The sequence below is a fragment of the Homo sapiens genome, chromosome 11, assembly GCF_000001405.40.
Source record: "Homo sapiens chromosome 11, GRCh38.p14 Primary Assembly".
NCBI lineage: Eukaryota > Metazoa > Chordata > Mammalia > Primates > Hominidae > Homo > Homo sapiens.
The window spans coordinates 79394179-79406999 of NC_000011.10; the positions used below are offsets into that span (position 1 = coordinate 79394179).

The 12821-nt window shown below is 42.9% G+C and overlaps 1 protein-coding gene and 1 non-coding gene across 6 annotated transcripts in view; both read right to left on the bottom strand.

The window, feature by feature from the left end:
• The window catches only part of TENM4 (teneurin transmembrane protein 4), a 788202-nt gene that overhangs the window by 741350 nt on the left and 34031 nt on the right, over positions 1-12821 (bottom strand). The window lies entirely within an intron of this gene.
• MIR708 (microRNA 708) lies at positions 7844-7931 on the bottom strand. Its single transcript, NR_030598.1, has one exon. It is a non-coding gene; the product is annotated as a microRNA 708 (primary transcript).

Consider the following 12821-nt stretch of genomic DNA (forward strand, 5'->3'; position numbering starts at 1 on the left):
TACCCTTGAAGGTTCTCTCCAGAGCAAGGGTGAGCTTCTGAATGCAATTCAAGCCAACAAGTATTTACAGAGCACCTGGTTCTCCTCAAGCATCCTGTGAGCCCTGTGGGGATGTGAGGAGGGTGGCATGCCTACCCCCGCATCCCAGCAGCTCCCAAGGTCAGAAGCACAAGGGGAGAGAACAATATATGAGTTGGAAGTCCCAGCTTCAGGTCCTCCTCCTTCTGTCACTTCTACACTGTATAATTTTGAGCAAATCACTTTTTGAACCTCAGTTTCAGAATATATAATAGGGCTGATTATGCCAGCTACCCTTAGGGTTAGTGTGAGAATTTAATGCAATCATCACTGTCGCATGACCCATAAAACACCATATAGAGGTATTATTTTGTTTAACACTAATATGTGATAACGAACTACTGAGAGTTGAATCATGTTCCTCCAAAAGCTATATTGAAATCCTAATTTCTGGTACCTGTGGATACAACCTTATTTAGAAACAAGGTCTTTGTGAATGTAATCAAGATGTAAGTTAAGGTGTAGTCCTGATGGAATAGGGTAGGCCCTTCATCCAGTATGACTGATGTCCTTATAGGAAGAGGAGGAGACACAAGCAGGCACACAGAGTGGGGAAACCACCCTGTGAAGACATGAAGATATAGAGAGAAGATAGCCATGTGAGGGCGGAGGCAGAGACTGGACTTATCAGCTGCAAGCCAAGGAGCACCAAGGAGTGTCACAATCACCAGAAGCCAGGAACCAGACAGAGGCATGGAACAGATTCCACCCCTGGAGCCCCCAAGAAGGAGCCAACATTGCCAACACCTGGATTTCAGACTTCTAGCTTCCAGAACTGTGAGAAAATAAATTTCTGTTGTTTTAAACCATTCCATTTGTGGTACTTTGCAATGGCAGCTGTAGGAAGCTAATATGCCAATCAAGACAGGGAGAAGGTGCCCAAACAGATGAGCCAAGTGTTGCAACACAGAGAAAAAAACAACTAATTCCTCCCTGAATTCCTACATCTCCTGCCATCTCTTCACATCAGCTATTTTCCTTCCAGTCCCTTGCTGTCAGCAAGACGCCTCTGGAAATGATCTGTATAGGTACCAACCATCGTTATCTAAAATTGACACATCAGGTGATAGTTGAGTGCCTACTATATTCCAGGGCCAGGCATTGAGGATCCAGGGGTGAATCACACAGACTCCATTCCTAACTGCACAGAGTTCACAGTCTAGATGGAGGATACTTTGGACAAGAACTTGCCACCAGGAACACATTCCTGAAGAGGACCGGGCATACAGGGTGCTCTGAGGAAATGCAGCAAGAGGATAAAACATGACCCACTCAATCGGTCACCAGCTCCGTGTTGTTGTTGACAAATTCGCCCAAGTTCCAAAAGGCCACAGGCATCGGATTACTCAGCCCAGGGGCTTTCTATGGCTCCCAGAAGGTATAGCATCAGGTCCTACCTCTTGGATTTTACTCAGAATTCCCCTCAATCCTCTCTGGACATTTACTGCCCACTCCTCTTTTAGAAACACTTTCATACTCACTCCAATAACTGGATAACACAGGCCTTGGGGGGATTTTGAGTTTGAATCCTGGCTCTGCTTTATGGCCTTTAATATCCGTGAATATTTATCAGAGGCCTGTTCTGGAACTCTGTACTCAGGATACAGAGATAAGTAAGACATATTTGTCCCTGTTCTTGAGCAGCCAAAGAGCTAGTTGGAGCTCCTTGGCCTCAGTTTACTCATCTGTAAAATGGAGGCAATAATATTAGTCTTAGTTTATAGTTGGTAGGCATACCAAGTGTCTAGCTCTCAGCAGGTGTGCAACAAACATCAAGTCCTCATGCATTTATTTTCCTGGATGCACCTTTGCTCAGACCTTCCCCCTGCCTATGTTCTTCCCATCCATCTCTAGTACTTCATGGCCAACACATTTTTAAGACTCAGATGAAAGCTTGATCCTTCTGTAAGCTTTTCTTGACCAGCCTAATGGCTTCTTAGAATTCCAACCACTCCAACTGTATGAGTCTTAATATTCTCCCCCACTGTATGGTCCAATTAGGCATTTTTTAAATTTGTGTCTTACCCCATCCTAGCTTCTTATCTCTCATGGTTCTTTGTATCATGCTTTATATCTAGTTCTTGTTCAAGGAGTAGCTATAGATTGGTTTGCTAATTACTTTATTATTGCAAGTCCCAGAAAGTAGGAGGTAAAAATATCACACAAAATTGGGCCATTCAGGGTTCAGTCCCTCCTAAAAGTTGAGACAACAGGACCATTCTTAATAGAAGCCCTGTGATCCCCAGACCTAAATGGTCACTTCTGCCTTCCTGGCTCCCAAAGCAGCCCAACTGTTCATACCTTTGCAGGGACCCCTTCCACCCCAGGGCAAGGAAATGGCTGCCAAATTGCAGCCATAATTGGGAGGCCGGCAAAGGAATGGCTAGAGGCATAATAGCGCTCCAGCGGCCAAGCCAAAGCGTCCACTTCCCTTTCTTTTGTATGACGCATGCATGGTTCTCCCCTCTAACCTTCAGGCATGGTGGCCACTGGGTCTCCCAAGACCTCTCTCCTCTCTGGTTCACACTCCATAGGACCATTTAGTCTCTCAGGGGCAGAGAAAATAGAGTGGCTTGAATAGCTTTATGAGTCACAACCAAAGCCAAGAAAGACAGAATCAAATGAAAATACTGTCTGAGTCGGTTTGCCAAGGCAAAGGTTGAGGGAGCCTGGGCTGCTGTCATTGATACAAGGGACTCTGCCTTTCATTTCCTCTTTGAGTTTCTCCTGAGCACTGTGTCAAGGGGGCTTCAGAACCCAGTCAAGGACGCAGGTGCAGGGACTCTATAGGTCAGATGGCAGACCTCTGGGCCTCAGAAGAGGAAGTCACAGAATTTGGCTTGACGTGTTAGGGCAGAACACTCAAAGGGATGAGATTCAAGGAAAAGCAGGAGCTAAGAAGGAAAAGGCCATTCCAGCTAGTCATGGCTGAGGACAGAAAATTCATGGTAGCCCACTATGTACCAGGCAGTGTTCTCATTGATTTTTATACATCATTTTATTTCATCCTCAACATAGCCCCATAGTTATAGGTATTACTGTTATTAACATCCCCATTTTGTAAGTAAAGAAACTGAAGCCCAGGGGACTGAGTAACTGGAACAAAGCTGGAAAACCAGTAAGCCACAGAGTCAGGATTCTAACCCAGTTCTGAGTGACTCAAAGCCTGCCCCCTCCAACTATGTGCTACATGGCTACCCAGGAACCCCAAAGATGTGTCACTCCTGCTTCTTCTCCGGATACCATTTCCTGAGTTAACTGGCTATCTCCAAATTTTTGGCATCTGAATAATTCCTTTACAGGCCAGAGGTAACTGCCACTCATGGTCAAAAAGGAAGGATACCCCAGCAACCAGATACAGAATAAGAGTAAGTAGAGAATGCAAAGGGTTAGGAGGCTTTGTGAGCCAGGAAGGCAAAAGCCAGGAAGGGCACTCAGGTCTGGGGGATCACAGTACTTCTATTGGCAATGTTTCTCTTATCTCAGAATTTTTAGGGAGGGCTGGCTGCTGAGTGGCCCAAAACTTAGGGCAGTTTGTATGATTTTTCCCCCTCCTTTCTTCTGGGGCTTGTGAGCAATCAGCAAACCAGTCCACAGATACTGTCAAATAGAGGTTGCATGGTAGAAAGTTAGAAGGAAAACAGTCTGGAAATGCCAGCTCTGTCACCATGCAAGGCCCATTTATATGAGTTTTCTCATTAAATTTGTGTGACATCCTTGCACAAAAGACTATCATTCCCAGCGAGGAAAAATTAAGGTTCAGAAAGATTATTTTTTAAATGAATGAATTTACATATGTGTGCTTGTTTGTATTTATCCCAATTTGTGCAAGACAAATTATAAGGAATCCAGTGCAGACAGAAGGTAGAAAATGCAGCATCGGCCCAAGTTTGCTACACATTCTGTGCTTTACTTTTTTTTTCCTATGCTTTGCAACTCCCCACCTCATGTGTCCTTTAATCTAGGACAACCCCCAGCACCATGAGTTCAAAATAGAATCCAATAAGAAGAGGCTCAATTTACCTGTGAATCTTCAGGAGCAGCAGACAAGTAGGGGTGGGCGCATCTCACCTGGCTCAGTGGTCAGGTGCTTTTAACAGTCAGCAATGTTCATCCAGCCTTACCTCTCAGGGTCCTGAGAGAGAGCTGGGCTGTGGGCCACTGCAACTTACAAACTGCATGACCCTGGGCAGACCATCTAACCTCTCTATGCTTTGGTTTTCTCATCTATTCACATTATGGAAATACTAACAGTGGTAGCTCCTCTTCACTGAGTGCGGACAGGAATATAAACCACTTGTAATCAGAAACTGCTGCACAAACAAGTGGCTTAGTTTTAGTCCTACCTGGGTTAGGCTACTAAATAGTATGGACCCAATAGAACTTAACATGATCAGGGATGATCACAGAATATATTCAACTGTATTCAATAAATATATTTTGAGTACCTGGCCCTGTGATAGAAGATAGTCAGATGCTTTAAAAAAAAAAAAAAAAAAAAAAGAGTGCCACAGTGTGTTAGGTTCTAAACTGAGGAGATGGAAGACAGATAAGGTATGCTGGGGGCCCAAGTAGAGGCTGGTAGAGTGGACCTAGGGCAGATGGGAAAGCACTGCCTGCCCTCGAGGGGACACTGGAACTGAGGCTTGAAGAATAGGTAGGAATTGGCTAAGTGGACACAGTGAATGCATTCCAAGCAGAAGGAACAGCACAGCCGAGGCACAGAGGCCTGAGCAGGATGGTGTGCAGAGGGAAGTGTGCTAGGCCTGGCTGCCATGCTTCATTACAAAAGAACAGGATTTATTCAGCAGGGAGATGTCACTGTAACTACCCTGTATCATGACTTTCCATAGGCAGAAACATAAAGACAGCCCCAGATCTCACCCACCCAAATGATTCCCAGCATTTTTTGTGCCATTTCTCACTCTGATTAGCGAGCAATTTCCTGAAGGCAAGCCAGTCCACCAGGCACAGAATATGAGTTCCAACTCTTTCAATGAGCAGAAATCTACTGGTTCCATATTCTTCTCTGGGGAAGGAGAATCAGCTGAAATGAGTAGTTGTTTCCCATATTTACATGGGTATTTTCTTCTTATTTGAAATGCTTATGGACAAGGACTAATCTGTTAGGAAGGCAGAGAAAGATTGTGGTCCCTGCTACCATAGCCAAGGAAGAAGAACTGGGGAGTGGGAGAGCAATAAGTTTTTATCAGAAAAATTTAAAACTGATTGTTTGGAATTTGAGAGGAGACCCTAAAATTAGAGAGGAACTTGGAGGCGATCTTGTCCAAGATGCTACTCAAAGCAAGGCTCCCTTATAATACAGCCTGGCTAATTAACAGGCATCGAGTCTTGCTTGAATACATTTGTTTATTAATTTGATAACTTGATGGATCTTAGTTCTGGTGGAAACACATACATTCACATCAAAAAAAAAGAGAGAAACAGAAACATGTGGAATCTTGGAAACAGACGTAGAGTCAAATTTGGCTCCTCTACTTACACAGATTGAATTACTATGACCTTAGGCAAGATATTCAAACCCTCTGAGTTCCTTCTCTGTAAAGAATGGGTTATAAAACCTTCCTTGTCGGTGTTGTTGTGCGGATTAAGTGGAATCATGTATATAAAGTGCCCAGCAGAGTTGGCTGGCACACAACCAACACTCAATAAATGGTAATTATTATTATCTCTTTAGCCCAAACTCCCACCCAAGGCAGAAATCCTTCTTTAAACAACCCTGACAAACCAGAGAGCTATCAAGTCTCTGCTAGAATAAATATTTGTTGATTGATTTGGTAATCAGTTGATTCTAAATACCTGGGAGACACATAAACACACACCACACACACACACACACACACACACACACACACACACACACACACACCCTCCAGGATTATTTCTCCAAGTCTTGTGTGAGGGAGATGCTTTATCAACAAGACCATATCCCCATATCCATCCTGTTGGGTGATATTCAATGGTTAAATTTGCAGCCTGGAGCCAGAATCCAGTCACTGCAACTTTCTGCTCCATGGTCCGCTTCCTTAACCATTTTTTTTTTTTTTAACCACACAGACTCCTTTGAAGACCTTCCCAGACAATGCACATACCTGGAACAAATTGCCTACAACTTCAGGAGTGTCACAGACTTTGTGAAGGGCTTTGTGCCTTCGGGGCTAAACTCCTCTATGCTGGCACATCCCCAAACAAGGCTCTGAAATTGCAAACACTGCTCCTTTCTCCTGACAGGCATCTCTCTTGCCCTCTCCTCCCTGTGCTCTTCCTGGAACTTCAGAAGAGGGATGCAGTGCTGGACTTAAGCTCTGCAATCAGTGCAAATTCCAGTTTCCCCATCTAATGCATCTTTAAGCCTCAGTTTCCTTGCTTACAAAATGGCAATTGTAATAGTGCCTGTGTCACAGAGCTGCTGTGAGGGCTGAGGGGACAGTGCGTGTTGATGCATAGCACAGTGCCTGCACAGAGGAAACACACAATTGAAGTTTGCAATTGTCACTTCTATTCTTATGTTATCTGTTCCCTTGCTCTCCTCCTCCCACAGACATTGCAGTTTGCCATCGTTCCACTTTAAAAGAAGCTCCAGAAGGTACACTCAGCTCCAGAGAACTGGAGATAGCCCTGCATGCCATGACCTAGGTGTCAGGCAGGGGGCACTCTGCCCAAGTCAGACTTGGGACAGCAGGTGGCATATGCCAGACTTGGCCCTGAGAAGCTCTGATTGGGATTTATAAGGCCTATGATTACTAAAAAACAGAAAAATTCAAACTACCGAGTGAAAAATCAGTGGTACAGTAGATTCAAAAGCTTAATAAACAAAGGATCTTGGGGACAGGAAATAATACAAGGGATCCATGGAGGTATAACATTTGAGAATTCTGGTGTCCTTCACCTTTTTGTTTTCCTGCCTCCTTCCCTCCCTCTCTTCCTTTAAAGAACAAGCATGTATTGAGCAGTTATGTATGCAAGCCTTGTGCTAGGCACTGGAAATGAGAGATGAATAACCATGATTCCTGCCCTCTCGGAGCTCACAGACTAATGGAAGAGCCGATTTACAGAAAGAACACAGTGCAACAAGTTCCCCAACAGGGTAAGCACACGTGCTGAGGCTGTCTAACCCCGGAGCCTCAGACTCTTTGAGATGCAAAGGAATAAACAATAATTCCCAGAAAAGGTGACACTCAAATGGAGACCTGTCAATCATTTTTATTAGGCATTTTTGCTGGTTACAAAAGTAATAAATACTTTTTGCAGGAGATTTGGAAAGCACAAGGGTGTCAGAAAAAGAAAACGTCAATCATTATTTTACCATTAGAGGCAACCACTAATACATTCTGAAGCATTTCTCTTTCCATCTATGTACTTAACATCAATGAGTTCATCATGTCTATACATTTGATAGGCTCCCCAGTTTACTTAACATTGAAACATAAGCACTTTTCCATCAAGCTCAGTCCAAATGAGTGACCCCTGGATCTTTGATCTGGGGGACCAAGTCCAGGAGCCTGGAAGCCAGGGCTGGCCCAGAGGAGATATGACAAGCTGGGTTTTGGTGAGCAGGTTGAGTTGGCAGTGCTGTGGAGCATTCCACCCGGGGAGGAACACTGAAGATGCTGGAGAGCTGGGTGTGGCACTCAGGAGACAATTCAGGCCTAGAGGGTCCTCAGGTGGTGGTTGACGCCATGGGGATGGATGAGATCCCTCAGGGAGGGTGTGCAGGGTGAGAAGAGAGATGACTAGGGTAAGGTCCCTGCCCTCTAGAAGCTCACAGTCTAGTTGTGTTCATGTGCAAGTCATTTACCCCCAGCTAGATTGTAAGCTCCTTGAGGGCAGTTACCATTTCACACACAGCAGTCCCTCGCCAACCATGGGGGTTAGGTTTCTGAAAACCCCTGGGGCAGGAGAAGTCAGGCTTCAGGAATTTAGGACCTTATTGGGGAAAAAATAGGGTTAGGGGAATGAAGTCACCAGTGAACTTGTAAAATTATTATATTTTTACATAATGAGAAATGACAATGACAACATATTCAAAACACTGAATATCAGTGACACAAATTATCAACATATTCTTCAATTAACAACATTTTACAACTTATTTTCATGTACCATCTATCCCTTTAGTAGAGCTTGCCCCTTCACAGCTACAACAATATGCTTGTAAATTCACTTTTGCATTGCTGGAAAAAATACACTTGCTAAGAGTCCTTTTCTTATGTGTGGTTTCCCATCCAATTATTCAATGCATTTTGGTTTTTATAACTCCAGGCTACTGACACCTGTCTCTTGGTCCCACCCACAAGTGCAAGCACACACCTACATCCTAACAGGTAGGAGTGTGTTTCTGAGGTCTGATCCACCCCCTCCCACTCTCCTCTCTTCCCCAATTTTACTACAAACACCTCTCCTCTGCAGCCATTTCACCTACTTCCCTCTTCCCCAACCTCTGGGCAGATTTCATCAGTTCCCCCATAGGAATGAGCAAAGACTCCTGACCTTGGGATTCTCCAAGGCTTCTGACAAAGTATGCAAACATGAAGTTGTCAATATTAGAATTTGGTGTCTTTCTTTGGTAGACACTAGCATATCATTCACTCACTAGCTCATAGTAGGTACTCAATAAATTCTTGTTGAACTGAGCAATTTCCAAAGTAAAGGATGTGGACTTTTTTTTCTCTTTCCCCATTCACTGCTCCAAATGAATATTAAACCTTCACACAACATAAATATTGAAATATTTGTAGGCACATTTTATTTTCCCTTCTGGCAGGTCATGATGACAAGAGGCAGCTAATAGATGCAATCTATCTGCATTCACGAAGGCAGTTTTGAGTTCCACATGACATGCTGTCAATAGAGTCAAAAGATATGGCCCTTTAGTGAAGGAATTCTCCATATTTTCCAGCTCAGACCACTTGGATAAAGGAAAACACCTACTAACCAACGATTCTCCCATGCACATTTATGACAAAAAGGTTGTCGCCATGACTAAATGGGAGGACTAGCACTGTTTTTCATGAGATATCAACAAAACCATGTCTTTTAAATGAAACAATAATCAGTTACATTTATACAGCACTTTACATTTTACAAATGCTTTCAGGTACATTTTTATCTCACTTTTTCTTCACAGCAACTCTGCGAGGTAGTCAGAGAAGGCACTGATAGTTCCATTTTGCAGATGAAGAAACTGAGGCTTACTCTAAGGAAGGGACCAAAAGGGGCAACTCACTAGTCAAATTTGATACCCTTTCCATCTCCCATCACTGTTCTGTTGCCAGTTGGGTTACAATGAAAAACACAAAACTAAATTGCAATGCTGTTCCACTGTCATGTAATTGCCAGTGCCCAAGAGGTAGCCCACCCCTCGACACTCACATTCTCCCATTCCTCCCACCCCCAGTTGTCTTCCCTCAACCACTATCCACTCCACAAGTCAGTACCCAGACTGGCACATGAAGAATCTGAGTCAGTACCAGAAATGGCATTCAGCACTTCATGCATAGAAGCAAAGCTATGAGGCCAAAAAATCCGGGGGGTTGAGGGGGGTGGTGGGGGTGGTTCACCAGTCTTATCTCATTTAATCCTCTGCAAAATACTCACAATGATCACCCTTTCAAAGATGCAGAAACTGAGGCTCATCATGTGTATTAGCTTGGCCATGGTCACATGCCCAGAGAATGACAGTCAGCATTTGAACCCAGCTTCAGTTCCTGGACAGCAGGGCAGTCCCAAGAAAGCACTTCACTGGCTCAGAGCCACATGTGTTCCATTTCAGCCTCCCAGCTCAGAAGGACCTTGACCCTCCGCTGAAGCTGCTGCCCTCATGGCAAAGCTTCTTACAAAGGGTCCTCATCTGGACTAAAGCTGGATCACCTGACATAATAATTAAGCCCCAAACAGCCCCAAATCCTTTGTGGAAAAGAAAATCTGCTTTTTAAATGAATTCACACAGACATTTTGGTTTCAATTGCAAAGAACCTAAAATTTCCAAACAAGGAAGTGGGGATTCAGTCCACTTATTCATTTCACAGGATCTTTAACCAAATGGCAAAGGGGAAAAAGCTCAATGAGCACAACTAAGAAAACATAAGGGTTAAATTTTATGTGTGGCTGCAGAGAAATTTAAAAGCCAAGTTGCAGAGAGAGAAAGTAGACTAGAGGCTGCCAGGGGATTGGGGAAGGGGAAATGGGGAGTGACTGCTGAATAGGTACAGTTTCCTTTTGCTGTGATGCAATGTCTTGGACCTACATAGAGGCGATGGTTGCACAACACTGTGAATGTTTTAAACACCACTAAATTGTACACTTTAGAATGACTAGTGGTTAACTTTATGTTCTGTGAATTTTACCTCATTTTTTTTAGAAAAAGACAATAAAAAGAATGTTGCGTGTGCTGAGCAAGGAGTCTGACAGATAAAAGATGCCTCAGGAAGTGTTTATATGCACAAATGATTGGAACATACCCACCTGCTCAACATTAAGATAAGAGTTAGTTATGAAATCCCAAGACAAAATACTGTATATCTATTCAAAATGATATATATGGGGAATTGTAGAGCCGTAGAGAAATGTTTATGGTACAATAGAAGACAGCGGGGGGTGGGGGAATAGTAGACAAAATAGTAGACAAAGAGGACCAGATGAAGCTTGTCCTCTTGTTCCTGAACCTGTGGATATGGAAACTCCTAGCACAGGGAGTGTGCAGCACCAGAGAAGACTGTGTGCACATGTGCATTTGTTGACTTATGTCACTCTGCATGCCTGCGTGTGTTTATGCAACAGGCAGAGGGGAGGAACTTCAGAATTACATTTTTTACAGCTTGACTCTTTGGTTTAGTAAATTGTTATGCCTTTCAAATTCACTAGTAGTAATAATGAGGAAAACAATAACAACAATAACATTATTATTATTATTAACATTATTATTATGCAGGTACTATTTCTTCCGAGGCTTATGAGCTAGGCACCCTCATAAGTGTCTCTCATGCATCATCTCACTTACTGCTCACAGCAACCCATGAGAAAGGAACTCTTCCCAATTTTCAGTGGGGGAAACTGAGGATCACAAAGTTAAGGACTTCTCCAAGGTCTCACATTAGTCAAGACAGAAACAGGATTTTAATTAGGTCTGATTGATGCTCGTCATTTGACAGGAAAGGGAGAGCATAGTCAACATTTAGAATTGTAGAAGAAGGCTTAGAATGTAAAAAAAAAAAAAAAAGACATTTTTTGAAAGACACATAATCACTTTAGCTAGAAATAACAACCAGTAACACTCTAACATGTTTACTTGTAATTGTTTCTATGTCTTTTACATAGTTGAAATAAAGCTATAGATGCAATTTTGTCTACTATTCCCCCCACCTTCCATTGTACCATAAACGTTTCTCTACATCTCTACAGTTCCCCATATATATCATTTTGAATAGATATACAATATTTTGTCCAGGGATTTCATAACTAACTCTTATCTTAATGTGGAGCAGGTAGGTGTGTTCCAATGATTTACGCATATAAAAATGATGTGGTAAACATTTTTGTCCATCTAATTTCTCTGAATGCATTGTGATTTCAAAAAAAAAAAAAAAAAAAAAAAACAACTAGCTCCTAGATGTGCTCTTAACTGCATGTCCTTATCTGGAACTCCGGATGGGCGAGAACCCCATCTATGGAGGTGTCTACAAATGCACACATCTGGCCCTGCCCCAGAGCTGGGACCAGAATCTCTACGGTGATCTCCAGGTTGGAGTGGGGGCTCACTTTGATGGTTCCAGCCTTAACCACCGCACCAGGGCTGATGTTTCTTGGCCTGACTGTGCAGACATACAATCTTGACCAAAGACAAGGTTCTGTTCTCCCTACACTGTAGCACCCGAGACTTGCTGACAGTCATTGTGGCATGAGGCTCCTTCCATCTTTTGGATTTCTGCCACACCCCCAGCCTATCTGCTCTATTATTAACCTAGTGCAATTTTTCTTCACATTCAACTGACTCTTTGTTTCTGGAATCAATTTATTTTAAAAGGAAAATGTATCTCATTATCTTAAGTGAAAAAAACACCATCTTTTCATGAATAGAAAACAAAAAGGTTAAAAAATGAATATGATGAACAAAACAAGGTGAATACTGTTGCCTCCTCATCCAAACTCAGGTCTCTGTTAAACAGGGAGATGAACAAGCATTGGCGAGGTATTAAATACCTACCAGTGCCAAAATCAGGCTTTCTCCTCCACTAAATCAGAAAGATTAAAGAGGAAGTGAAACAAGACTTTCTCACCATGTGATCCAATGTTACTTAACACCGTGCTTAGGTAACACACGCAACCATTTGGTCCCAGTCCCCCGTGGAAAACACCTATCTAGTCCAGCCTTCTCCATTTACACAGGAATAAAAGAACCCAAGAGTTAAGCGTCAGGCCTTTGTCACATCTAAGCCTGGCAGCAAAGCAGAATGGAGAATCTAGGTCTCCTGGCTCCTAAGTCTTATTTGATAATTCTTTAAAAACTGTATTTTTAAAAAAATATGGGCAGCAGAGTATACAGGGAGAGAAATATATATTTACTCTGATCTTTCCTTATCAGATCCCAAAGCATATTATGATAGAAGAGGTTAAGGAAACAAAGCATATCTGTATCAAAAGGAAAGCAAAAAAATTTGATCATCAAGTAATTATTGACAATCTACTTCTGTGCCAGGCTCTATGCTCTGTGCTGGGCCCATCAA